The sequence below is a fragment of the Homo sapiens genome, chromosome 20 (assembly GCF_000001405.40).
Source record: "Homo sapiens chromosome 20, GRCh38.p14 Primary Assembly".
Classification (NCBI taxonomy): domain Eukaryota; kingdom Metazoa; phylum Chordata; class Mammalia; order Primates; family Hominidae; genus Homo; species Homo sapiens.
The window spans coordinates 64,255,516-64,279,241 of NC_000020.11; the positions used below are offsets into that span (position 1 = coordinate 64,255,516).

A 23,726-nucleotide genomic window follows, 5' to 3' on the forward strand; every position below is an offset into this window, starting at 1 on the left:
GCAGCCCGTGCGGGGTCCGTCCTGGCTGAGCACTGCGCGGACGGCGCGCCCGCGAGACTCGGACCCGGCCTAGGGCTCAGCGAGCTCTCAGCGGGGCGGGCGGACGCAGGCAGCCCAGGGGAGTGGGGCCCGCCCTGCGCCGCCATCACCCCTTTAAGTGCCAGGCCCGCGGCGCATGCGCAGTCAGGCCGTTGTGCGCAGGCGCAGAGGCGGCGGCGGCGGCGGCGGCGGCGGATGTTTACGGCGGCCGAGGTTGGAGCGGCGCTGCTCGGCCGCGGACACACGAGGGACGCGCCCGAGGAGCTGCAGGTGGCAGCCCAGGCGGTCCGAACCCGTCGGCCGGCCGAGCCTGGAGGTAGAGCCGCCGCCGCCGCCGCCGCCCCTCGGTCCGGCCTGCGGCGAGCGGGTGGTGTGTCCCCTCGGCCCCTTCCCTCCTCCTTCCCCACCCCCGGCACCCCTGCGCCCGGAGCTCTCCTCTGGGGGCGTCGCTCCTCCCCACCTCGGGCACCCTCACCTCCCCCCAGCGGCCTCCAGGGCGTCCCGCGTTTCTCTCTCCGAGCGCTCGCGGTTTCCCGTCGGTCTCTCCCGGTGCCCGTTGCTCACTCACACTCTTGGGTCTGGTTAGTCCAGACCTGCAGCTTGTCTTTGACTTCCCAAGTGGGAAACGTTTGCAGTTCCAAGGCAAGCCAAGAGCTAAGGTTTAGAACAAAGTCTGCCTTGGACCCTTTCAGAAGATGACAGGATTTTTTAAAAAAATAATTGCGCCCCCCCGCCCCGTGCCTTGGAGATAGTAAGAATTGGAGCAGAGCACTGGGACTTCAATTCACGCATGGAAAGAGATCTTTGTTAGTTGGAGGAAGGAGAACTTGCCTGAGCTTCGGGCCTTTGTTTTGTTTTTGTGAGAGGGACGTGTCTCCTAAATGAATGTTTGCTCCAGCGTTGCACCTCAAATAAGTCACCTAAATATCCACGCCCTCTTTATCCACCCCCTCTTTACTCGTGTGACTAGAATAGTTTTCATTTTTCTTCTCAAGGGAATGGCTAAACAGCTCCTATCTGGGCGTTTGATAGACTGTCATTCAAGAATGAGTGAAGTTGAGGTGCCTATAAGCAACTCAGAAATTGTTGTGGCCACGCTTGGGGGAAATAGAGCCCTACACTCAGGTGATGAGAGGAGACCTCAGAGGTGACCGATCCAGGGCCTTGCTCCCTGCGCCACCCCAGCTCGTACCTCCAGTGGAACTTGGCTGGGCTTATCAAGAGCTCCTTTCATTCATTGCAACTTCATTTGTTAGAAAGCTTCTCTGTGTATTTAGTAGGCATTGTCTCCAACATGTACCACTGGTCTGGCTTTTGTTAGGCCCATTAATAGTGTACATGTGACAGCCTTTCAAGTATAGGTGCTCCCCGGCTTACGGTGGGGTCGCATCCCAGTAAACACATCGTTAAACCTGAAGTCGAACCATCCGAAGTCGGAGACCATCTGTATTTGAAAAAAGTCCCTTTGCATTGCTTGTAAGAGTTCTGGTTTTCAAGGTGAGAAATCTGTTTGTGTGTTTGTTTGATCATTCTGCCCAAAGGAGATGTGGCTTTGGGTCCTTTTCCCCACTCATCTTCCACAATGAATTACTTTGTCCATATTACCCTAAAGAAGTGACATCCAAGTTGGAATGTGATCTTCCGTATGTCGCCTCCCAAAACCCCACTACCATAGCTTCATGCTTGTGTTGACACAGCCACAATCACAACTCAGGTGTCAGTTCTGAGACCTTCCCATGCCTGTCGCCACTCAGCAAGTGTTCTTCATGTGCCCTGGCAGTTCGCATTGTAAGGAGCAGCCAGGTTGTTATGGACTGTTGCTAGTTACCACAGAGTAGTGAATTATATTAAGGATTAATTACAGCAGACAATGTGCACAGTATCATCGAGTGCAGCGTTCTAAAAATGATTCTACACTTTTACTTTGAAAAATTGGATTTGACCAGATTGTAGAATCTGGGTGAAAATGATAGGATTTGGTTTGGCGAAGAGCTTTGTTGTCGGTGTTTTTGGTGACATCATGACTGATCATATCGATGGTTTTCAGTGCGAGGGAGTGTTAGATTACCAGACAAAGATGGTAATAAATATCAGACCCCACAGCTATTCACATGGATCCTACCAGTGGCAATAGGTATAGATAGGGTTACCCCATCGTCAAAAGGTTACCGGTGTGTTGTGTGGTAAAGAACGTTGCTGTCTTGAGTATTTTTAAAAGCTGCACTGGTGTGGTATTAAAAACACAGGCCTTTTGCCATACAGTCCTGGGTTTGAATGCAGCCCCCTCCTCACAAACTGGCTATGTGATCATGAACAAATTAACCGGCCAGCTCCAATTTGCTTCTTAATGTTGTGAAGTGTAAATGAGGCCATGACTGGCAGGTGGTACCTGGAAAAAGGTGCTTGTTTTTACTAAAAAGCTGTCTGAACTTTCAAATTAAGGCAGAGTTCAAAATAAGTGATAGTTACTTAGTGGAAAATGAAACCTATCCAACATACAGTTTGAGGTTACCTTCTAGAGATGTGGCATTGAGACAATGTTGGAACATTATATACAGGCTTCTGGGTGAAGAGGTGGCTTTGACTGAGGACGGTATGCGATTTTCCAGCTCTTTTCCTAAATAGACCCTTAAGCATCCAAACACATGATTCCGCTTTTAACCACTGACCCAAATTTTAAGATGACTGTGGTAGGCTAGGGTGCAGCCTCAGAACTGAGTGGCTTATCCAGGATTAAAGTTGACCTCATTAGGACTTAATTCCATCTAAGTCTAAGTCAGCTGGCTGTGGACCGTAATCTAACAAGGGCTCCGAAACAATTCAAAAAATTCAAAAAGGGTGTGAAAATTTAATGACTGGACCATCCTATTGATTTGCAAAACCTAATATTCAGCTCTAAAATCTTGAGTGTGAAGATTGAGTGTTCCACCATAAAAATAGAAGAGAATTTGTGTTAAGCTATACCCTTCACACTTTTTGTTCACTTGTAAGAAACTATGTGATTATTTTCATTCCTGGGAAAACCTCCCACCGCTGTCTCCAGTTGTGTACGTGGGTGTGTATGAAATCCGCCCCAGGCCCCTTGTCACCCCACAGTATTTCTTTACGATCCTCATTCTACTGTTAGAAATCCAGAGGAATGTGAGGAGGAAAGCAAGTATAAACTTCATCATAATTATAACAAGTTGTTAAAAAGGTTGTGTTCATTTCAGAAAATGTCTTCATGAGGTCTGGTGGTCTTTTTCCCTGACAATTTGTATCTGGTGTTTTGTAAAGCATTACCATTTTATATGAAGTTAAAGCAGTTACTTTGAAAAAGTTACATGGGGTAAGTATAAAATTGGAAAGGATATTTTTGTAGTTTTAAGAAGAGTAAGACTTCTCCGCGTGAAAAAGTGTTTTCTTGTGAATTAGCTGAAGCTACCCTGTATTTTAATAGTTAGGCTCAGAGGTGACACATGCTGTGCTTTTTCTTCTTGAAGGCAGGTTGGGAGAAGGTAAGACAAGTAGTTGTTATTTTTAAAGAGCTGGGAAAGCTGCGTATCATGCAATTGAGGAGGGGCTGTAGGAAGTTCTGGTAGCAGCCCCTCCTACACTTAAACTTTAGCCAGGAAGCTGATTTTGCATTTGTTAGAAAAAGGTATTTGTCACAGTACGTTCAATTTGGGAAGAGTGTTTTCTTGCTGTTTTTGTCTAAAATTTGAACATCAAAATATCCAAATCAACAGGTCAGATGGATTGCTTGACTTGGGTGGGTACTTTTGTGTATGTTGGGGATATAGAATTCCCAGATGTAATATAGGACACCACCTAAAGTTTTTTTTCTTTTCTCTTTTTTTTTTTTTTTTTTTTGAGACAGAGTCTTGCTCTGTTCCGCAAGCTGGAGTGCAGTGGTACGAGCTCTGATCACTGCAACCTCTGCCTCCCGGGTTCAAGTGATTCTTCTCCCTCAGCCTCGCCAGTAGCTGGGATTACAGGCATCCACCAGCATGCCTGGCTAATTTTTGTATTTTTTAGTAGAGACGGGGTTTCACCATGTTGGCCAGGCTGTTCTTGAACTCCTGACCTCAGGTGATCCAACTGCCTCGGCCTCCCAAAGTGCTGGGATTACAGTCATGACCCACCGCACCCGGCCTAAATTTGAATTTCAAATAAACGTCAAATAACTTTTAGTATTGTTGTTTACCTTAATTTCCAATTGAACTGGGATTTTTTTTCCTTCTAAATCTGGCATCTCTGGGTGGGGCAGGGGATGAGGTGGGTGTTGACAAAAGATAATCTATTATTTTCAGAATTCAGAATTTCAAATTGGTATCTGTTTAGAACTTCTATTGTTCTGCTCTTACCTTTAACATAAATCGCTCTTTTTAAACATTTTTAATTATAGTATTGCCTAAGTGTAATCTTGAACATGGGCGGTGCTGTGAGTGCTGGTGAAGACAATGATGAGCTGATAGATAATTTGAAAGAAGCACAGTATATCCGGACTGAGCTGGTAGAGCAGGCTTTCAGAGCTATCGATCGTGCAGACTATTATCTTGAAGAATTTAAAGAAAATGCTTATAAAGACTTGGCATGGAAGCATGGAAACATTCACCTCTCAGCCCCGTGCATCTACTCGGAGGTGATGGAAGCCCTAGATCTGCAGCCTGGACTCTCGTTTCTGAACCTGGGCAGTGGCACTGGGTATCTCAGCTCCATGGTGGGCCTCATTCTAGGTAAGTGTGGAAGGAGAGTCTGAAAACTCATCTGTCTCAGGGAAGGAGGCATCTCCTTTGACAGAAAATGTAGTCTGCTAATGGCCTGCCTGGGTCGAGACCGCAGCCTTCCCAGTAGTTATCTGACATTGACACATCACTGGGTGGTGGATAGAGGGATGAGGGAGGAAGGCCTGCATGCATCTCATGGGCCCCGGATTCTCCAGAGGGACCTCTCCTGTTCTCTGTCCCCTCTTCCTGTGCTGCCACAGCCTGTACTGCGCACCTGCCCTCTGGACAGCGGAGGATAAAGACAGTTGTGTAAATCTTGACCCCACTGTGATTTCTCGATTTAATTTTATCACTCATTCTTCCTTGTCACTCCTTCTCTAAATCGATGGTAATTAACTTGAAAGTCCTTTCGGAGTACTTCTAAGCAGTTTTTGTTTTGTTGGTTTTTTTTTTTTTTTTTTTTTGACAGTTGTGCCCCATCGTCTAGGCTGGAGTGCCGTGACACGAGCAAGGCCCACTGTAGCCTTGACCTCCTGGGATCCAGCAAATCCTCCTGAGTACCTAGGGCCACAGGCACGCACCACCACCCCTGGCTGATGTTTAAATGATTTTTAGAGACGGGGTCTCGCCATGTTTCCCAGGCTGGTCTCAAACTCCTGGGCGCCAGCTCTCCACCTGCCTCAGCCTCCCAAAGTGCTGGGATTACAGGCATGAGCCACCATGCCTGGCCTACTTTTTTGTTTTAATACTAAGAGTAATACCTGTAGATTTTAAAATTAGTTTCAGGGATGGAAGGGATTTCACTATGAAGCTATTTAGCCTATTTTCCAAACAAATGAGTTGTGAGACTGCACATGGAAATATGGCTATTTTTAATAATAGCAGATAACTAAGGAAAAACATCACTTGGTGCCAAATGCTGTGAGGGGCGGGGAAGGCATCTGTTTTTAACTCAGTAGGGTGGAAAAGTTTTGCCGGAGGGGTGATAGGAGCTGATCTGTAAACAGGAAGCAGGGGCCAGGCTGCTGAGGCAAAGCTGGCTGAGAAGACGCTGGATGAAACCAGTGCAGAGAAGCTGGAGTCTGTATTTTTTCTAAATCCTGTTAGAACTGACAGGATTTACGGGTGGACTGTATATGCTTGTGAAAGAAACGTCAGGAATGTGGCTTGGCTTGGTGGTTCATGCCTGTAATCCCAGCCCTTTGGGAAGCCGAGGTCGGAGGATCGCTTGATCGCTTCAAGATTGCAGTGAGCTATGATTGCACCACTGCACTCCAGCCTAGGTGACAGTGAGACTCCGTCTATAATTGATTTTTGTGGATATGGAATGATAATTTTGTTTTTTTTTTCTAAGTCTGTATAAATTGGAATTTGGTGAAGTTTTGAGACCGATTATTTTGGCTTTATGCTATAGATTGCTACCTTCAGGTGTAAAAGTGTGTAGATTTTTATAATGCTTTTTGACCGTAACTTCTCTTCAATTGAGACTGTTGTGATCCCTGTGCTTTGAGAAGAGAACACAGTGCCCAGATTATTTATCATTTTTGAATTTGGGAATTGTGATTTCCTCCAACGTAGCTGAAAAATAGGGGCTATAGCTAAGGTAGAACCTTGGGGAGAAATAGGTGATCAAGCTGACTAGATTAGAAATACTATAGGAAAGAGCCAAAATGCTTAGGAAAAGATGACTTAAAGTAAGCCTGAAATGGTGGGGCGTGGTGGCTCACGCCTGTAATCTCAGCACTTTGGGAGGCCGAGGCAGGCAGATGGCTTGAGGTCTGGAGTTCAAGACCAACCTGGCCAACGTGGTGAAACCCTGTCCCTACCAAAAGTATAAGAAAGTACCTGGGTGTGGTGGTGCACACCTATAATCCCAGCTACTCAGGAGGCTGAGGCTGGAGAATCACTTGAACCTGGGAGGCGAAGGTTACAGTGAGCAGAGATGGTGCCACTGCACTCCAGTCTGGCTAACGGAGCCAGACTCCATCTCAAAAAGAAAAAAAAAAAGTAAGCCTGAAATGGCCTTGCTGTACTTGACATCCCCTAGAAGTTATAAGGAAAGGCCTTCCAACTTGATACAGTTGCTTTTCTTTCCTGAATCCCCTGTTTACTGGAAATTTCATTGGATTTTGGGAGGAGAGAGGTCTGAAGGAAGGAAAGGCCTGTTTTCTGCTGTAATGGATGTAACATGCTGCTTTGATGCAGTTGAAGGAAGTGACTTCAGGGTTTGCTGTCATGGATGCGTGTCTTGGCTGTGTCTCCAGATGCTGCAGCTTTTATTCAAGCTTAATAGCACTTGGTGCAGAGCACTCCAGAGTGAAACCTCATTGGCTTCCCGGCGCCTGTGGATGTGGGTCTCTCATCTGACGGAGTTCTTTACTGTGACCCCCGACTGCCTTTCGCATGGCCTGAGCGGCATCCTGGGTCAGCCCTGTTCCTGTGCTTGCTCTGTGGGCTCCTCTCCCCTTTGCTCAGGGCTGTCCTTACCTTTGTTTGTCATCAACCAGGGGAGAATACAGTAGCTACTAAGAGATGGTGGCTCATAAGTCACCTACCTGAAAAGTGCTGGGTGATTCGGAAGCAGGGCAGACCTAGGAGCGGCTCTGCCAGGGGGGCCTCGCTGCTCTGGTTTCATGCCGTGCTCCAGTGCTGAGTCCCAGGTGCCGTGTTCCTGACACCCCCCGGCCACCCTGTGTCCTCCTCCCCTGCTAGTCATCTTTGTATTAAGCAGGTGGGTCGAGGTATTTGTGTTACTACTGTTTGGTGTTAAGCTTCTTGGGAATAGGAACCATATCTCATATCTGTTACTAGAATTAACTGCTTATTAAGTGTTTGATAGTGAAGGTGAGGGGTCAGTGAAAATAAGATGAGTGGGAAGAATCAAGCGCTATTTTTGGTCTCTGGCAGAGTCGGGAATTGAAGTCGGAGTTGTCAGAAGGTCTTGACGTTCAGAGTAATTCAGGATTTGATGTTGTAAACAGTGAAAAGGGGAACTCTCAGGTAGGGTGTATTTTGACGAGGTAATGTTTTAGCAGCAGCTCTGTGTATGAAATACGTGGAGAGAAAAGAGCAGCAGGTACAGTTGTCCAAATGGGGGCCAGGGAAGCCTTGGCCTGGGCTGGTGGCTGTTGTACTAGGAGGGCCCACACGGTGCAAAGGTGTGGGATGCACAGAAGGTTGCCCATTTCTTAGCATTTCTGTTAGATTGTAGGGTCCAGTGCTACATGATCACTGTAGTAGTATATCTGTCTACCAAGTAAAGTCCTACGTGCCTTGTGATTTTTACATGTAGATTTAAAAAGTTGACGTGTAACTTACCCATAGTAAATGAACAAGTGTGAAGTGTGAATTCTGGTGGACTTTTACATATGCATCCACCGCCATATAAACTCCAGCCACAGCAAGATGCAGAGTTGAATCAGCACCCCAAAAGGCTCCCATGCCCCCTCCTCCTCCTAGAAAGTTCACCAGTGTTGCATCTTCCAGAAAGGTGATGACCGTTTTGCCTTTGTCGGCAAAGATGAATTTTGCCCGATTTTTACCTTCATGTAAGTGGATTCCCGCAACAGAGAGACCCATTTAAGTTGAGTGTCAATACTGTGTTCCCAGTTAACGTAGGGGCAGTTTTATATCGGGGGAGCACTGTCATCATTAAGTGGACTTGTAACATTTCTCAGTTGTATTTCAAATTACTGATAAATATCCTTTGATATAAAAATGTTTCATTGTGACTTGGAAGCATAGTTTTATCTTAATGATGATGATTGAACCCTGTTTTGTGAATATTATAATGCTCACATCTGAGTGTTCTGGGCAACTTTTCAGGGAAAACAGAATCGTCTTAAATGTTACCTCTGGACAAACAGGTGAGGCCTGTGTCAGTTCCATTTGCAAATACATGTTTCTTCTTTAGTTCATTAGTAAGACCTGAACACTTGGTTTGTCTCCATTTTCAAATGATTCTTTAAAAGTTTGTGAGCAGAGAAGCCCAGGCCTCAAGTATTTACGATGTGGTGAGCCGTGATACTGTGATGAGACTTCAAAACTTTGTGAATGTCTGTAGTTACACATGTTAAGTCAGACGTGTTACAGTTGGTAGAAGTGAACAGATGAGCAAGAGTTCTTACTCTGGTTCTACATGTTTTCTTATTCTTAAACCTTTTAGGTCCTTTTGGTGTGAACCATGGGGTGGAACTTCACTCAGATGTGATAGAGTATGCAAAGCAGAAACTGGACTTCTTCATCAGAACAAGTGATAGTTTTGACAAGTAAGATGAAATACTATCCATTGGCTCAGATGATGTGAACTGTAATTTTACAAAGTTTTGATCAGATAGAAAGAAATCATGTGGTAGGAAACATAATTAAACTGTGGTGGGATGATTCTATGTGCCTGTTCTAATTTTCAGAAAAGATTCTGTGTTTTGAGGGTTTTAGGGTATTTCAAACTGTTACACATACATAAGGTGTTCATTTGCTCAATATTCATGTTTCCTGTTGAAGACAACTGTTTACCACCTAGTTTTTCCTAAAATAAAATTGTTGCATTTGTCTCTAAACAGTATATGTAACTAGCTTTTGCCATTTTAAAAGAAGGCATTAAAGTTCTTATTTTAGGGATTAAAATTTTTAGAAACACCAAGTGCAGTTTCACCACCCCCACATCTCACTCATTGTGTAGTATTAATAGATCTTACATAAGATGATAAGAAGATGACAGAGACAGCAGCGACTGGAGATTGTGTGAAATTTGGATAAAACTTTTGATATTCACTTTCATACTATTTTGTTTGGTATTTCTAGAGTTCTAGTTATATAGTATAATTCTTTTTGGAAGTAATTCTTGGACATTTGTAATTCTTTTCTTCCAGCTCCTCACACTGTAAACTGTGTTACATTGCTGTGGGATTTTAACCTGTGGTTAGCATAGATTTACTGTATAGACTTGTTGCAATGTGATACTTTTAGTTGCAGGAAGCATTTTTTACTTCCAGGTTTGACTTCTGTGAACCTTCCTTTGTTACTGGGAATTGCCTGGAGATTTCTCCGGATTGTTCTCAGTATGATCGTGTATACTGTGGGGCTGGCGTGCAGAAAGAGCATGAAGAGTACATGAAGAATCTTCTCAAAGTGGGAGGGATCCTTGTCATGCCACTGGAAGAGAAGGTCAGATTCCCTTCATAACTGACATTTCTGCACACTGTGTGCCAAGGTCTGTTCTGGGCAGTGTACGGATACTTACTCTTTTAACAATTTCCTGCATTTCACAAATGAGGAAACAGAGGCAGGGACAGGTGAGGGAGATGCAGGGTCACGCACATGCCCTAGCTGGGGCCAGAAGCTGACTCAGGTGGGTGCTTCAGAGCCTGCACGTGAAACGCTTTTCTCCACCTTCCTTCTCTGTCTCTCTCTTTTTCCTTCTTCTGTCCCTTCCCCCTCACCTCCCTCTTCCTTCCCCTTCTCCTTCCCCCCAGCTGTTCTGAGTTTTAATTCTAATTGTTAATCTATTATAATTGTTCTGCTGTTAGAATTATATATAAAATAGAGTCATTCTATTCTCATCATTAGTCTAATTGTTACATGCCTTGATGTTATGCATTTGACAGGAATCCTTTGCCTAGTGAGAGTCTTGTCCAAGTTTGCTGTTTGGTCATGCTTGTTTGTCTGTGTTACTGTATGTCACTGGGAAAAATAGTTTATAGTAAATGAACAGATTAATCAGACATGAATTGGTCACCAAGAAGAATGTCTCCCAGTCACAAAGAACTAGGAAAACACAAATAATAAAAATTAGGAGGTTTTAATTGTTTTAATAAAAATTTGGAGATGAGATCTTGCTCTGTCATCCAGGCTGGAGTACAGTGGCATGATAATAGCTCACTGTAACTTCAAACTCATGGGCTCAAGTGACCCTTCCGCCTCAGCATCCCAAGTAGCTGGCACTATAGGCACGTGCTGCCATGCCCAGATAAATTTATTTTTTAAATATTTATTTATTTATTTATTTATTTAGAGACAGAGTCTCGCTCTGTCGCCCAGGCTGGAGTGCAGTGGCGCGATCTCAGCTTAGTGCAACCTCTGCCTCCTGGGTTCAAGCGATTCTTCTGCCTCAGCCTCCTGAGTAGCTGGGATTACAGGTGCGTGCCACCACACCCAGCTAATTTTTGTATTTTTAGTAGAGACAGGGTTTCACCATGTTGTTCAGGCTGGTCTCAGAGCTCCTGACCTCATGATCCGCCCACCTCGGCCTCCCAAAGTGCTGGGATTACAGGTGTGAGCCACCGTGCCCGGCCTAATTTTATTTTTTTAGTGATGGGCTCTCACTGTGTTGCCTGGGCTGATCACAAACTCCTGGCCTCAAGCAATTGCCTCACCTCAGCCTCCAGAGTTGTTGGCATGAGCCATCACACCTGGCAGAATATTGTTTTAAATGTCTTTGCTTATACAAGTGATATTACAGATCTTTGTTGCTATACAAAATGCATTGGATTTTTTATTGGAATTGTATCATCTCGATAATTTGAGGATTGTGGCCATCTTTACAATGTTTCATCTGCTTATCTAGAATATGAAATAGGGGTTTATATAGTTTTATTTAAGGTTTTATACATCATTTATTGATTCTATTGAAATACTTGTTTTTCATTGTAACTAGAAATTCTTTTAAAAATGTTTAAATAAACATATGTTTTGCTGGTATACAAGAATGTTTGTTGATATTTACTTAGTACGTGGCGACTTAATCCTTTTAGTTATAAGATTCATGACATAGAATCTTAGTTTTTAGAGGATTTACTGACTTAGATATTTTTAGAAAAGGCCAGCATATAATCATAGCATGAAAGAACTGACCAGAAATAGTTTTGTGACCTGTGTAGGCCACTTGGAGACTGACCCAGCCACACAGAGTGCACAGAGGGTCATGTCTAATTGTGGTCTCTGGTGCTCGTAATACTTTAATTCAAAAGAAATGTTTTGATGGCCTACACTGGAGTGTGTTAAGCCACCAGATTCCGGTGCTTTCGTGGGGGTGATATCAGGGCAAGGCTCATTTAAACACTTCAGTATTTGTCTCCAAAGCATGAGGATAATTGCCCAGGCATCCAAGATGACAAGTTTGCATTTAAAAAAGTAACAGGGATTCTGTAACAGTATCTGTTACTACAGTGCCTATCAGGACTTAGCCACCCTCCCAATAACAACAGGTCAGGATTCAGTTGGTTGGTAACGTATCTGTAATTACTTTTTGCTTTAGAACAGACCCCCTTTTCACCCTCAATATTGACTTTTTTGGAGAGTGCTAGAGCATTGTCTTATAAGAATCCCCACACTGTCTATGTGGTTGTTTCCTCTTGCTATCCTATAACTAGTTTCTCTATAATATATAGTTTCTGTAAACAGAAGTTAGGCCTAGGGCCTGAATATATTCAGGTTAGCATCTTTGCAGGAATATTCATAAGGTAGATGTACTTCATGGCACATCACATTAGGGGTCCGTATGTCAAGATATTTCATTTTATTGTAAGCATTTCTATGTATTTTTATAGTATGTATAGGAATGATTAAATATGAGCTAAATAGTAGCCAATTCTTTTGAATATTCTCATTTTGTCTCTGGGATAGTTGACTAAGATAACACGCACAGGTCCTTCAGCTTGGGAAACCAAAAAGATTCTTGCTGTTTCTTTTGCTCCTCTGATCCAGCCCTGCCATTCAGAGTCAGGAAAATCAAGACTTGTCCAGTTACGTAAGTATACCAATCTTTACTTATTTTATCTTTTAGATCTTTTCTCTCTGGTTAGATTTTAAAAGGAAACAAAATTTACAACAAACCTTTTGATATTAAAAAGCACCACTCCCATGCTGAAACTGTAAAATTCTACAAGCAATTTCAGGCATTATAAAAATTATAATCTATTTTTAACCTATTTCAGGTAATTTTAGCCGTCTTTTAAATCTACAAAGAGCTGTTGCCGGTCACACCATTGAAAGCCGAGGACGCACATAAAAGGGAGCTCATTTTGCCATGTGGGAGACTTAGCCTATTTGCCGCCTCCACTGGGAGGGGCTTACAGAAAGAGCCATCAGCCAGAGGGCTCCTACAGAGTCATGGGGCTTCTGCTCCCCAGGGCGCCAAGCGCCTGCTGCCTCATGGGTAGACAAGGTTAGAGAACACATTCCAGCTAATCTGCTGGGGTGTGGATAGGAGACTTTCCGTGGAACCTTACACAGCCGAGCCTTTGTGTTTCACTATTTCAGGATGCAAACTGAGCAAGGAACTGATACCAGGGCCAGCACGACAGCAAAACCTCCTAATGTTTTAAAATTTAAACGGCTCACACAGAAATGAGAGTTCCAATTGATTTTATTTAAAATAAAACTATCAGGATGCTCTCTGATCATTTAGAAAATTTGGAAAATGCAAAAAATAATAGGAAGGGAAAAGTTTTGCATAGTCTTACAAAAAAAAAAAAAAGTTTTGCAAAAAGTTTTACATTTTGGCAAATCTCTTCCAGAAAGGTTTTTTGATTTATTAGGAATCACCTATGAAATGATTACACTTTGCTTTGGTCTCTACTAAGTACAGGTTCTAAGAACTAGACACGGTTCTTGAAATTTGATAATGAGCAACAATAGGACATGCAAAACGGTTAATTAGGGAAGGTTTGGCAGAGGGTGATGTCTGTGCTTGGCCTTCAAGGGCAAAAAGGAGTTCCCTAAAGAGAGAAGAAAGGGGAGAAAAGTACCAGCAGTGGCAGGACATAAATCAAAATGCGTGTTCCCCGTGTAGTCAGAGTTGGGACTGATGGGAGAAACTACTGGTATGTAGGTTAGAATTGGGTTTATCATGTAGGCTGGGGAGAGCTATCAGATGCTTTAAATAAAAGATACAGTGCCTGTGTATCCTGGATAAGCCTGGTTGTCGTCGGGTGGAGGGTGAATCTGTCAAATGCGTGCTCTGAAAGTCTCATCAGAATAACCTTTTAAGTAACTGCCGCCCTTGGCGGGGAGGGCACCAGCTTCCAGAGCCTTAGCAGAGTTTGGGAAGGCAGGGGCATCTTCGGGGTATTTATGAGACTTTTTGAGGGTCTGGTTGAAACGAGCCGTTCCCTGTGGGGTTCGTCTGGCCGATGAAGAATCATGACAATGTGGTGGGCAGTTTGGATGCTTGTTTTGAGGAGATGGCTTTGAAGAGAGTGTTAGATGATCAACAGTAATGTGATGCTTTTAGAGTTTCTGAAGTGACCCATTGAGTTACTTGCAACTTTTCTTTTCCTGGGCCAGTTTCCTATACTAGTAAATTCATGTTGGTAAAGACAGTGGAGTAGAAAACTCTGTGAGTGTAGACATACGTGATATGGGGTCATGTGAGTGTAGATGCGTGGTGTGGGGTGTGTAAGTTTAGACCTGCACAATATGGGGTCAAAGTGAGTGTAGACGTGTGTGGTGTGGGGTCGTGAGAGTGCGGACATGCGCAATGTGGGGTCATGTGTGGACATTTGCAGTGTGGGGTAATGTGTGTGTGGGTGTGCGCGGTGTGGGGTCATGTGAATGTGGGCACGCGTGGTGTGGGGTCATGGGTGCTGGCGTGTGGGGGGTGTGGGCGTGCATCGTGTGGGGTCGTGTGAGTGCGGGCATGCATGGTGTGTGGTGTGAGTGTGGTCCTGCACGGTGTGGGGTCCCGTGAGTGAGGGCGTGCACGGTGTGGGGTCCTGTGAGTGCGGGTGTGCACGGTGTGGGGTCGTAAGTTCAGGCGTGCACGGTATGGGGTTGTGTGAGTGCATGGCGTGGGGTCTTGTGAGTGCGGGCGTGCACGGTGTGGGGTCTTGAGTTCAGGCGTGCACGGTATGGGGTCGTGTGAGTGCATGGTGTGGGGTCGTCAGTGCGGGCATGCACGTTGTGGGGTCGTGTGGGTGTGCACGGTGTGGGGTCGTGAGTGCGGGCGTGCGTGGTGCGGGGTCATGTGAGTGCACGGTGTGGGGTCGTGTGAGTGTGGGCACGTGTGATGTGGGGTCATGTGAGTGCGGATGTGCACAGTGTGGGATCGTGTGAGTGCACAGTGGGTTGTGTGGACGTGCACGGTGTGGCGTCGTGAGTTCAGGCATGCAGGGTGTGGGGTCGTGTGAATGCGGGCCTGCACGGTGTGGGGTGAGTGTGGGCACACGTGATGTGTCATGTGACTGCGGATGTGCACAGTGTGAGGTCGTGTGAATGCGGGCGTGCATGGTGTGCAGTCGTGAGTTCCGGCGTGCACGATGTGGGGTCTTGTGAGTGCGGGCGTGCATGGTGTGGGATCGTGTGAGTGAAGATATGTGTGGTGTGGGGTGGACGGGTTAGCTTTCAGATTGAATGGAAGCAGGAACAAGTGGAAAGCTGTTGAAATTTTCCAGGCGAGAGATAAAGATAAAAACTAAGACACTGGCTGCTACAGTGGAGAAGATTCAGTGATACATAAAATGGTACAGTCCTTCTGAGGAAGGGCACGTGAGGTGTTCGTTGTGATACGTACAATGGTACAGTCCTTCTGAGGAAGGGCACGTGAGGTGTTCGTTGTGATACGTACAATGGTACAGTCCTTCTGAGGAAGGGCACGTGAGGTGTTCGTTGTGATACGTACAATGGTACAGTCCTTCTGAGGAAGGGCATGTGAGGTGTTCGTTGTGATACGTACAATGGTACAGTCCTTCTGAGGAAGGGCACGTGAGGTGTTCGTTGTGATACGTACAATGGTACAGTCCTTCTGAGGAAGGGCATGTGAGGTGTTCGTTGTGATACGTACAATGGTACAGTCCTTCTGAGGAAGGGCATGTGAGGTGTTCGTTGTGATACGTACAATGGTACAGTCCTTCTGAGGAAGGGCATGTGAGGTGTTCGTTGTGATACGTACAATGGTACAGTCCTTCTGAGGAAGGGCATGTGAGGTGTTCGTTGTGATACGTACAATGGTACAGTCCTTCTGAGGAAGGGCATGTGAGGTGTTCGTTGTGATACGTACAATGGTACAGTCCTTCTGAGGAAGGGCATGTGAGGTGTTCGTTGTGAGACGTACAATGGTACAGTCCTTCTGAGGAAGGGCATGTGAGGTGTTCGTTGTGAGACGTACAATGGTACAGTCCTTCTGAGGAAGGGCATGTGAGGTGTTCGTTGTGAGACGTACAATGGTACAGTCCTTCTGAGGAAGGGCATGTGAGGTGTTCGTTGTGAGACGTACAATGGTACAGTCCTTCTGAGGAAGGGCATGTGAGGTGTTCGTTGTCTGTGGTAGACCTGGGTCTGTGGGAGGCTCAGGATTCTGGTCCGGACTGGAGTAGAACCTGGGGAGCTATTGGCTGGCCTCTGTTATTTAAAGCCACAGAATGGATGTAAAACCAAGGACTAGCAGTCATACTGAGACGGTGAAATGGTGGAAATTGGAACCTTAGGGAGCAGCACTGGGCTGGATGGAAGAGGAAGAGCCTGCAAGAGAAAAGAGCTGCGGAGGTCAGAGGGAGCGGCTGTGCCTTGGGCCAGGGGAGCAGTGAGCCACGTTCCTTATCCCAAGCAGACTCCTTGGAGATCTGGAGAGGCCGGAGCTGAGGGCCGGGACCCCGAGGGCCTCGGAAGGAGTTGTTTCAGCCTCTTGGGGCAACAGCCAGATCCCAGTGGCTCTGGAAGTAATCTGTCTAGATGTGAGATGATGAAGGAAGGAAGGATGGCTGTACTTGAGGAGGGAGCCGGGTCACAGATGGGGCAAGAGGCACGATCGTGGTGTTGAGTGAAGAGAAAGGACTGAAGACAAAGGAAGTGCCGGAGCCTGTCCTGGAGAAAGGAGAAGGGACCTCTTGTCTGTGGAGTCAGAAAAGCAGGAAAGGTTGAAGGGAGAAGGTGCTACTTACTCACTACCAGGGGCCTGGGACACAAGCCTGTTTGAGGGTTTCTGAAGAACAGTGGAGATGCTGAGATTCTGTGCAGGCCTTTCTGACTTTGGTAATAAACGTTGTGCACAACACAAGAGCTCTCCCTATAGTGCAGACTGTTATTATTTGGAGAAGTTGAGTACTGGAGGGGAAAAGTGATGCTGATTTTCAGTTTAATGTAATTTTCCCTTTGAGAAATGTTGCCTGCATGAAATCGTGAGCTTTAATTGTCAAATGTTCTTTCTCCTTGGTGTGCTTTGGAGTTTTTGTTTTTCCTGAAAAATGTTTGGATTTGCATTTCCCTACTTTAATAAAAATGGAGCAAATGTTCATTGTGTAAATAACTATGAAAATATTAACAGATAAAAGAATATTAGGCCGGGCACAGTGGCTCACGCCTCTAATCCCAGCGCTTTGGGAGGCTGAGGTGGGCGGATCACTTGATGTTAGGAGTTTGAGACCATCCTGGCCAACGTGGTTGAAACCCCGTCTCTACTAAAAATACAAAAATTAGCTGGGCGTGGTGGCGCATGCCTGTAATCCCAGCTACTGGGGAGGTTGAGGCGGGAGGATCACTTGAACCCAGGAGACGGAGGTTGCAGTAAGTCGAGATCACACCCTTGCACCCCAGCCTGGGTGACAGAGTAAGACTCTGTCTCCAAAAAAAGAATGTTGGAGACATATTCACTGTATTACTAGTAGGTGGGTATTAATATACACATGAACACAGCAAATAATAGAATAATGAAACTGGGCTGTGTCAGGAAGACAAATTGTGACCCAGGTGTTGATTCCACCACTGATTAATATAGCCAAGCAATATTGCTTCCTTTCCCTTTCAAAGTTAAGAATTGATGCATTTGGAAATATCTTTTGAAAAGTACCATATGATTGTAAATTAGAGCACTAATTGACATTTGCTTAGCATGCTCTCATATTCTTGTAACATATTCATAAATTTGCCAGTTAATTGAAATGATGCTACGGGTCTTAGGTGTGTAGGCGTTGTGGTGGTGTCACTCCGATGCATTTGACTGTGTCTCACTCTTCTGTGCTGCAGCACCAGTGGCAGTTCGCAGCCTCCAGGACTTGGCTCGCATCGCCATCCGGGGCACCATTAAAAAGATTATTCATCAGGAAACTGTGAGCAAAAACGGAAACGGACTAAAGAACACCCCCAGGTTTAAACGAAGGAGAGTTCGCCGCCGTCGAATGGAAACGATTGTCTTTTTGGACAAAGAAGTCTTTGCCAGTCGGATTTCCAACCCCTCAGATGACAACAGCTGTGAAGACTTGGAAGAGGAACGGAGGGAAGAAGAAGAGAAGACCCCGCCGGAAACAAAGCCAGACCCCCCAGTGAACTTCCTACGCCAGAAGGTCCTGAGCCTCCCTCTGCCAGATCCCCTGAAATACTACTTGCTTTATTACAGAGAAAAATAAGTCTCCTGTTTGAAAGGGGGAAATAGGAAGAGCAGATTGCTGAGTGTGAAGTTCGTGCTGCCTGTGTGCTGTTGAAGGGTCACCTGGAGGCAGACGTTGTGGGGAAGGGAACTGCTGGGCTCATCCACACCATGGTTTTCTTCTAGTTCCTGATTGACCTCTAAAATTCTATTCAGTTGTATGATTTGTTTACATAGTTCCACAAGACCTTCATTGCATAGAAGATTGTTTTCCCAAAGTGGAGAGAATCTTCATAGAGAAAAAGAGAAGGCTGTTTCTTTTTCGGCTCTGACGAAACACTGAAGTCTGCGTAAGAGAGACTGTTTGATGACCGTCCCTCATGCAACATGCACGGTACTCACTAAAAATGAAAACTGAAGTGGAAACTAACCTGTGTTGCTTATAAAGTGTGAAAGCACAAGCTTATAAATGTATAAAATCTTTTCTGGGTGTGACGCACCTGCGTCCAAGTTTGAATTTTTATGATATGTACCACTTAATTACTGGCACTGAGTATCACTGAATTTCTTAGTTTTCTAGTGGGGAAACATTATTGAGAAGCCCTCCCTTATTTTAAGTAAGTTGATTAAATCTTATGTGAGTTGCCAGTTGTAATTTTTCAAAGGAAAAATTTTGATGGGGTGGAGGAATGAATTGCCAGATAATCTTTCTGGAATTCCGAGAGAATTCCAAAGAGGGTTTTTTTTTTTTTTTTTAGGACATCTTTTGATACCTTTAAAAGAACCACTGTCAAGTAATCCTTAAAAGAATATCTTGGAAAAGGAAACAGATTTTTTCCTGTGTGTAAGCAATAAGTGAAGTTACATTTGCCCTAACCCTAGGGATGATTCTTTACCCAGTTTTAAAGCCCATCATGGTATTCTAAGGTGTTGACACCCTCCATCCTCAGAGCAGGTCGAAAATATTAAATAGACTGGGGACTCTATGATGGGCAGCCTGTGCTTTTTGACTTCAGTTTGCTATTTTTCTGTGATCACATTAGTACTGATTCATAGATTCTATCTTTTATAATTCTGGAGAAAAAGATTTGTTAGTTTTGTAATTTTTTTGTAAGACCAAATGTATGTATTTTAGTAGCTCCATTGCATGAGAAGAGTGTAACTCACACTGACTTGTGATATCAGCCTTCTCTGGGCCTTGTGTGTGGAGAGCTTTCTATCTTACCAAGTGGTAGGGCTAAAAGAACAACAGCCTTTTTGGTAGTCACATAGCAGAATGATCAGAGTTACATTGCTTATTCCAAAACATTGGTTCTTTTTAAAACATTTTTTTTTACCCAAAGAAAAGAATAATAGAAATTACTAACAATAAATATAAATTCAGAGTGTTGATATAGGATTCAGTATCCAGAGTTTATTTTTAATCTTAATCCTCAGCTTCTTGGGAGTTGCTGGGCTTCAGTGTCTCTGTGGTTTCACCAGCTTAGCTTGAGCTCTGGTTATTTTGGATCTTTTCTGCTTTTTTTAAGTAACTGAGTCATTTTTACCACACAGTCCAGTTTGCATGTATAGCTAGGAAACATGTATTGCTCTAGATTGGGCAGTTTAAGTCATTTTAAAGAAAGTTAGTTCATAGTTGTTGCCTTTTAACTCATAGTCAAGCTTCAGTCTTTCAAAGAGAAATGTGTGATTTTCATTTACTTGCTGATATTTTGTAGTTTGGAGATCCTTGTGGGCATTATTCTAACTGATACGTAGACACTTACTTGGAAATTTTTGGACATTATATTAAATGAGTGCTATCTGTGAAATTGGTTATATTAGGTGGCTTGACTAATGTTTTTTCTATAATTGTATATGGACTGCATTTTTAAAAAAACCGCATTTGCCTTTATGCTAGATTGTAAAAAATTATATTAGAATGCATAAGACATGTTTTTCCTTCATATGCTAGACTTTTCCTAGCATTTCGTATTTCTGTGTTGTCAGTGTGTGATTTTTAAACCGGAATTTGGTTTAAAAAAAATCTGGTGGTAATATATGTGAGAAATACTTTGGTGTTTACCTTATGAAAATAAAGGATTGTAAGTAAAGTTTCCTGCGCACCTTATACCAGAATTCAGTATAATACACTACTTTCTGTTTTCAAACAGATAAATCATAATATAGTCTGTATTATCTGTAAGATCTGTCTTGTAAACCACATTCTTGACAACTATTTGCTTTTGAGTAGTTTGTATTTTAATATGTGACTTTTGTCTTGAAAAGTAGTAAAGCCATAGACTTGTGCAAAACAAGTTTCAAGTTTATAGATATTAAGTTTGTAATGTGAGCATCAAATGTGTATGTAAAAATACTTTTTACCAGTCTGGAACTTGGGAAAATCCAGGGAATTTGAAACATAGATTTTAATGAGCTGGTAAACACAAATCATGTCAATAAAGGTAGTCAGGATATTTTATCCTTAGCATTGCTTCTGCATCCTGTGTAGGATTCCAATTCTTGAATATGTTCTTTTCAAAATCTTAAGAAAAGAACCTTTTTTCTTTATTAACATCATGTGTTTACTTTCAGCAAATATTTGTATTACTGCTTGATTCTGTGACAGTCACAATAGATGTAGAGAAGGCATTATTTTTCATTAATAAATGTGAAATTGGAATGGACAAATGGAGAAGTGGCTGGCTCCAAGTACATAAGAGAATAGGGCCTTGAAGATTGCGGTTAACGTTTTTGGCATAATTTTCCCACATTCAACTTTCTAAGGGGCAGAAAATATTTTTTTTTCATTCTCAGTTATCTGTTCAGAGCACAGATGTTATTTAGATCTTGAAATTCTGGGACCAGTCTCCCAAAGAGCTTATGTTTTCTCTTTTATTGTATGTGCTTGTTGGGATATTTTTTACATTCTGCCTTCCAATTTTTTATTTTGGCAGTTATATATTTTAAGATAATTTCATGCTCTCTTTACTGATCTCTGAATTTTCCTTCCTGCTGTATTCGTCAGGGTTCTGTAGAGGGACAGGACTAATAGGATAGATATATATATATGAAAGGGAGTTTATTAAGGAGTATTGACTCACAGGATCGCAAGGTGAAGTCCCACAGTAGGGCATCTGCAACCTGAGAAGCAAGGAAGCCAGTCCGAGTCCCAAAACCTCAAAAGTAGGGAAGCTGACAGTGCAGCCTTCAGTTTGTGACTGAAGGCCCAAGAACCCCTTTCAAACCACTGGTGTCAATCCAAGAGTGCAAAAGCTGAAGAACTGGGAGTCCTGTGTTCGAGGGCCGGAAGCAAAGCATGGGAGAAAGATAGAGGCCGGAAGACTCAGCCAGTCCAGTCCTTCCGTGTTCCTCTGCCTGCTTTTATCCTAGTCGAGCTGGCAGCTGAATAGATGGTGCCCACCCAGACTGAGGGTGGGTGTGCCTCTCCCAGTCCACTGACTCAAATGTTAATCTCCTTTGGCAACAGCCACACAGACACACCCAGGAATGATACTTTGCATCCTTCAAGCCAATCAAGTTGACACAGTACTAATCATCACACCTGCATATACTGTTATTTTCTGTGGTTGCAGTACTATAGACTTTTCTGAGGATCCTAATTAGAATTTTTAAAAATTTTACTTCATCGGAGGTGGGAACGTGGATTCTGGCCCTTCCTTGAACAAAGAAGGAAACGGCCAGAAAGAGGAAGGGATGTGGGGACTTACTCCTCTAGAGGTGATTTATCAGTTTGATCATGTTGATCTTTCATTTCTTGCTGTATCTCTTTTTTTTTTTCTTTTTTAACTGTTGTTGGAGACTCACGTTTGCCTGTCTGTAATTACAAACCAGGCTGGAGTAGGGACAGTCATTGGCCAACCTCATAGTGGGATGAGGAGAGCTGGTCTTCAAGCCAGGGGCCTGGACATATGAAGGGTAATGGTCTCTGGGAATCAGTGAGCCTCCTTGATCCGTCTGCAGAAACCCCTTCCTTCTGGTTCCCTGCTGCTGCTGGGCATCAGGATGCTCTCCCACCATTCGAGCTCCTTGCAAACCTCATCCTAACCCTAACCCTGCTGTGCCCCAGCTCTCTGTCAGATGCCCGTCACCAGGGGCTCCACTTGCAACCTGACTCTGAACAACTGTGGACCTTGTGCTTATGTCTTTCCCTTCTCTTTCTCTTGGAGACAGAGATGCTCTGAACAACTGTGGACCTTGTGCTTATGTCTTTTCCCTTCTCTTTCTCTTGGAGACAGAGATGTAACCCATTGCTCCACTATGTTGGAACCAGAATGTCCAAATTAGCACTTGAGGTTCTGCATGAAAGAGGAAATAGCAGAAAGCGGGGATAGAGTCATAGACCACACGGGCAGGACGTCCCTTTGACCTAGGAGGGCCCTGGGCAGCTGGGCACTGGGTGGTTAGAGCAGGGGTGGAGTCATAGACCACACGGGCAGGACGTCCCTTTGACCTAGGAGGGCCCTGGGCAGCTGGGCACTGGGTGGTTAGAGCAGGGGTGGAGTCAGACCACACGGGCAGGACGTCCCTTTGATCTAGGAGGGCTCTGGGCAGCTGGGCACTGGGTGGTTAGAGCAGGGGTGGAGTCATAGACCACACGGGCAGGGCATCCCTTTGATCTAGGAGGGCCCTGGGCAGCTGGGCACTGGGTGGTTAGGTGGTTGTTCTGATGGTCAAGAGGGAGAACAGCATGAGCCCTGCCCCAGGCCTGTTGTTCTGTGTCAGAGATCAGGGCTGTCTTAATGCCCCATATCCCCCACCTGGCCAGCTCCCCCAGACTCAGAGGGCAGCAGCAGTAACTACTGTGCCTTGATCCGCTAAGGTGGTGGGGGCCACCCCTCTGCCATCCCAGGAAACACGCAGAGCCTGGGCCATCCCAGCCCTTGCCGGTAGCCTTTCCTGTGACCAGCAGGGCCCAGAGACTGTGTGAGGAGGTGCTTGGGTGGTAGCTGGTCACAGGCAGAGGCACGGGCTACATGAGGACCTCCAGGGGGTGTTGCTCACTCCTATCAGGTAGCAGGGTCACTCCTGAAAGTTCTAGAACCATGACTTAGCCAGCTGCATCATGTCCATTTTGGGGAAAATAAAATCTCTGGAGCTGACCCTTGGCTGGGACTGGACCTCCCAAGAAGTGGCACCTATGCAATGGTTAGAGGTCTGGTCCAGATGGAGGCTGAAGGCTCCTCCTCACCCACTCCACTTGGCACCTGTGGGGAGGGGCCACTGCCCTCAGCATCCTCTTCCCACAGCACTGCCACCCCTCCGCCCCAACACTTCCTCCTGTCCCCTTTCTGGCCTTATCCCTGGCCTCTCTGAGAAGAGGGATGTGATCCCACGGCCTGCCCTCACCTCCTTAAAGGGCCAGCCTGGGCCCAGTGGACACAGTTGAGACACCATCTTGTGCCTCTTCCTGTGCCTTCCTGAGGCACCTTTCCTAGAGATTAAAGGGACATAACGGCTGTTCCAAAGTGTTGATAGCTGGAGGAGGAGCCCGGGGAGATGTGAGGCACGGGGTTTGGGCAGCCCTGGGTTTTCCAGGCTCCAGTGACAGCAGGATGGAGGCTCAGGGTCAGCTCTGGGTACAGTGGGGTGGAGACTCAGGGAACATCTTCAGGGAGGCCACCTCCACCCCATCCCTCCTGGTCCACAGAGATCTGTTGTCTCGAAGTTCTGAAGTCCAG

At 45.0% G+C, this 23,726-nt stretch overlaps 1 protein-coding gene, 1 long non-coding RNA gene and 1 pseudogene across 3 annotated transcripts, besides 1 other annotated feature; all 3 read left to right on the plus strand.

The window, feature by feature from the left end:
• Positions 1 to 232: 232 nt before the first annotated feature.
• PCMTD2 (protein-L-isoaspartate (D-aspartate) O-methyltransferase domain containing 2) lies at positions 233 to 20,711 on the plus strand. Of its 2 annotated transcripts, none has more exons than NM_018257.3 (6): positions 233 to 355; positions 4,427 to 4,757; positions 8,914 to 9,016; positions 9,743 to 9,914; positions 12,372 to 12,495; positions 17,706 to 20,711. In NM_018257.3, exons 2-6 carry the CDS (start codon positions 4,451 to 4,453, stop codon positions 18,083 to 18,085), a joined length of 1,086 nt encoding a protein of 361 aa, NP_060727.2. In that variant the 5' UTR covers positions 233 to 355; positions 4,427 to 4,450; the 3' UTR covers positions 18,086 to 20,711. The 2 variants fall into 2 exon arrangements, with proteins under 2 accessions (NP_060727.2, NP_001098395.1); NM_001104925.2 differs by having other exon boundaries at positions 12,453 to 12,495.
• Positions 14,337 to 14,838: an enhancer, noted in NCBI's record as "H3K4me1 hESC enhancer chr20:62901205-62901706 (GRCh37/hg19 assembly coordinates)". NCBI's record gives its function as "activates a minimal SCP1, AML or CMV promoter by ChIP-STARR-seq in naive H9 embryonic stem cells {active_cell/tissue: H9 hESC(naive)}" and the evidence as "EXISTENCE:reporter gene assay evidence [ECO:0000049][PMID:30033119]".
• On the plus strand, positions 14,384 to 16,975 carry LOC124904957 (uncharacterized). Its single transcript, XR_007067721.1, has 2 exons — positions 14,384 to 15,940; positions 15,995 to 16,975. It is a non-coding gene; the product is annotated as an uncharacterized LOC124904957 (long non-coding RNA).
• IL9RP5 (IL9R pseudogene 5) lies at positions 22,791 to 23,046 on the plus strand (annotated as a pseudogene).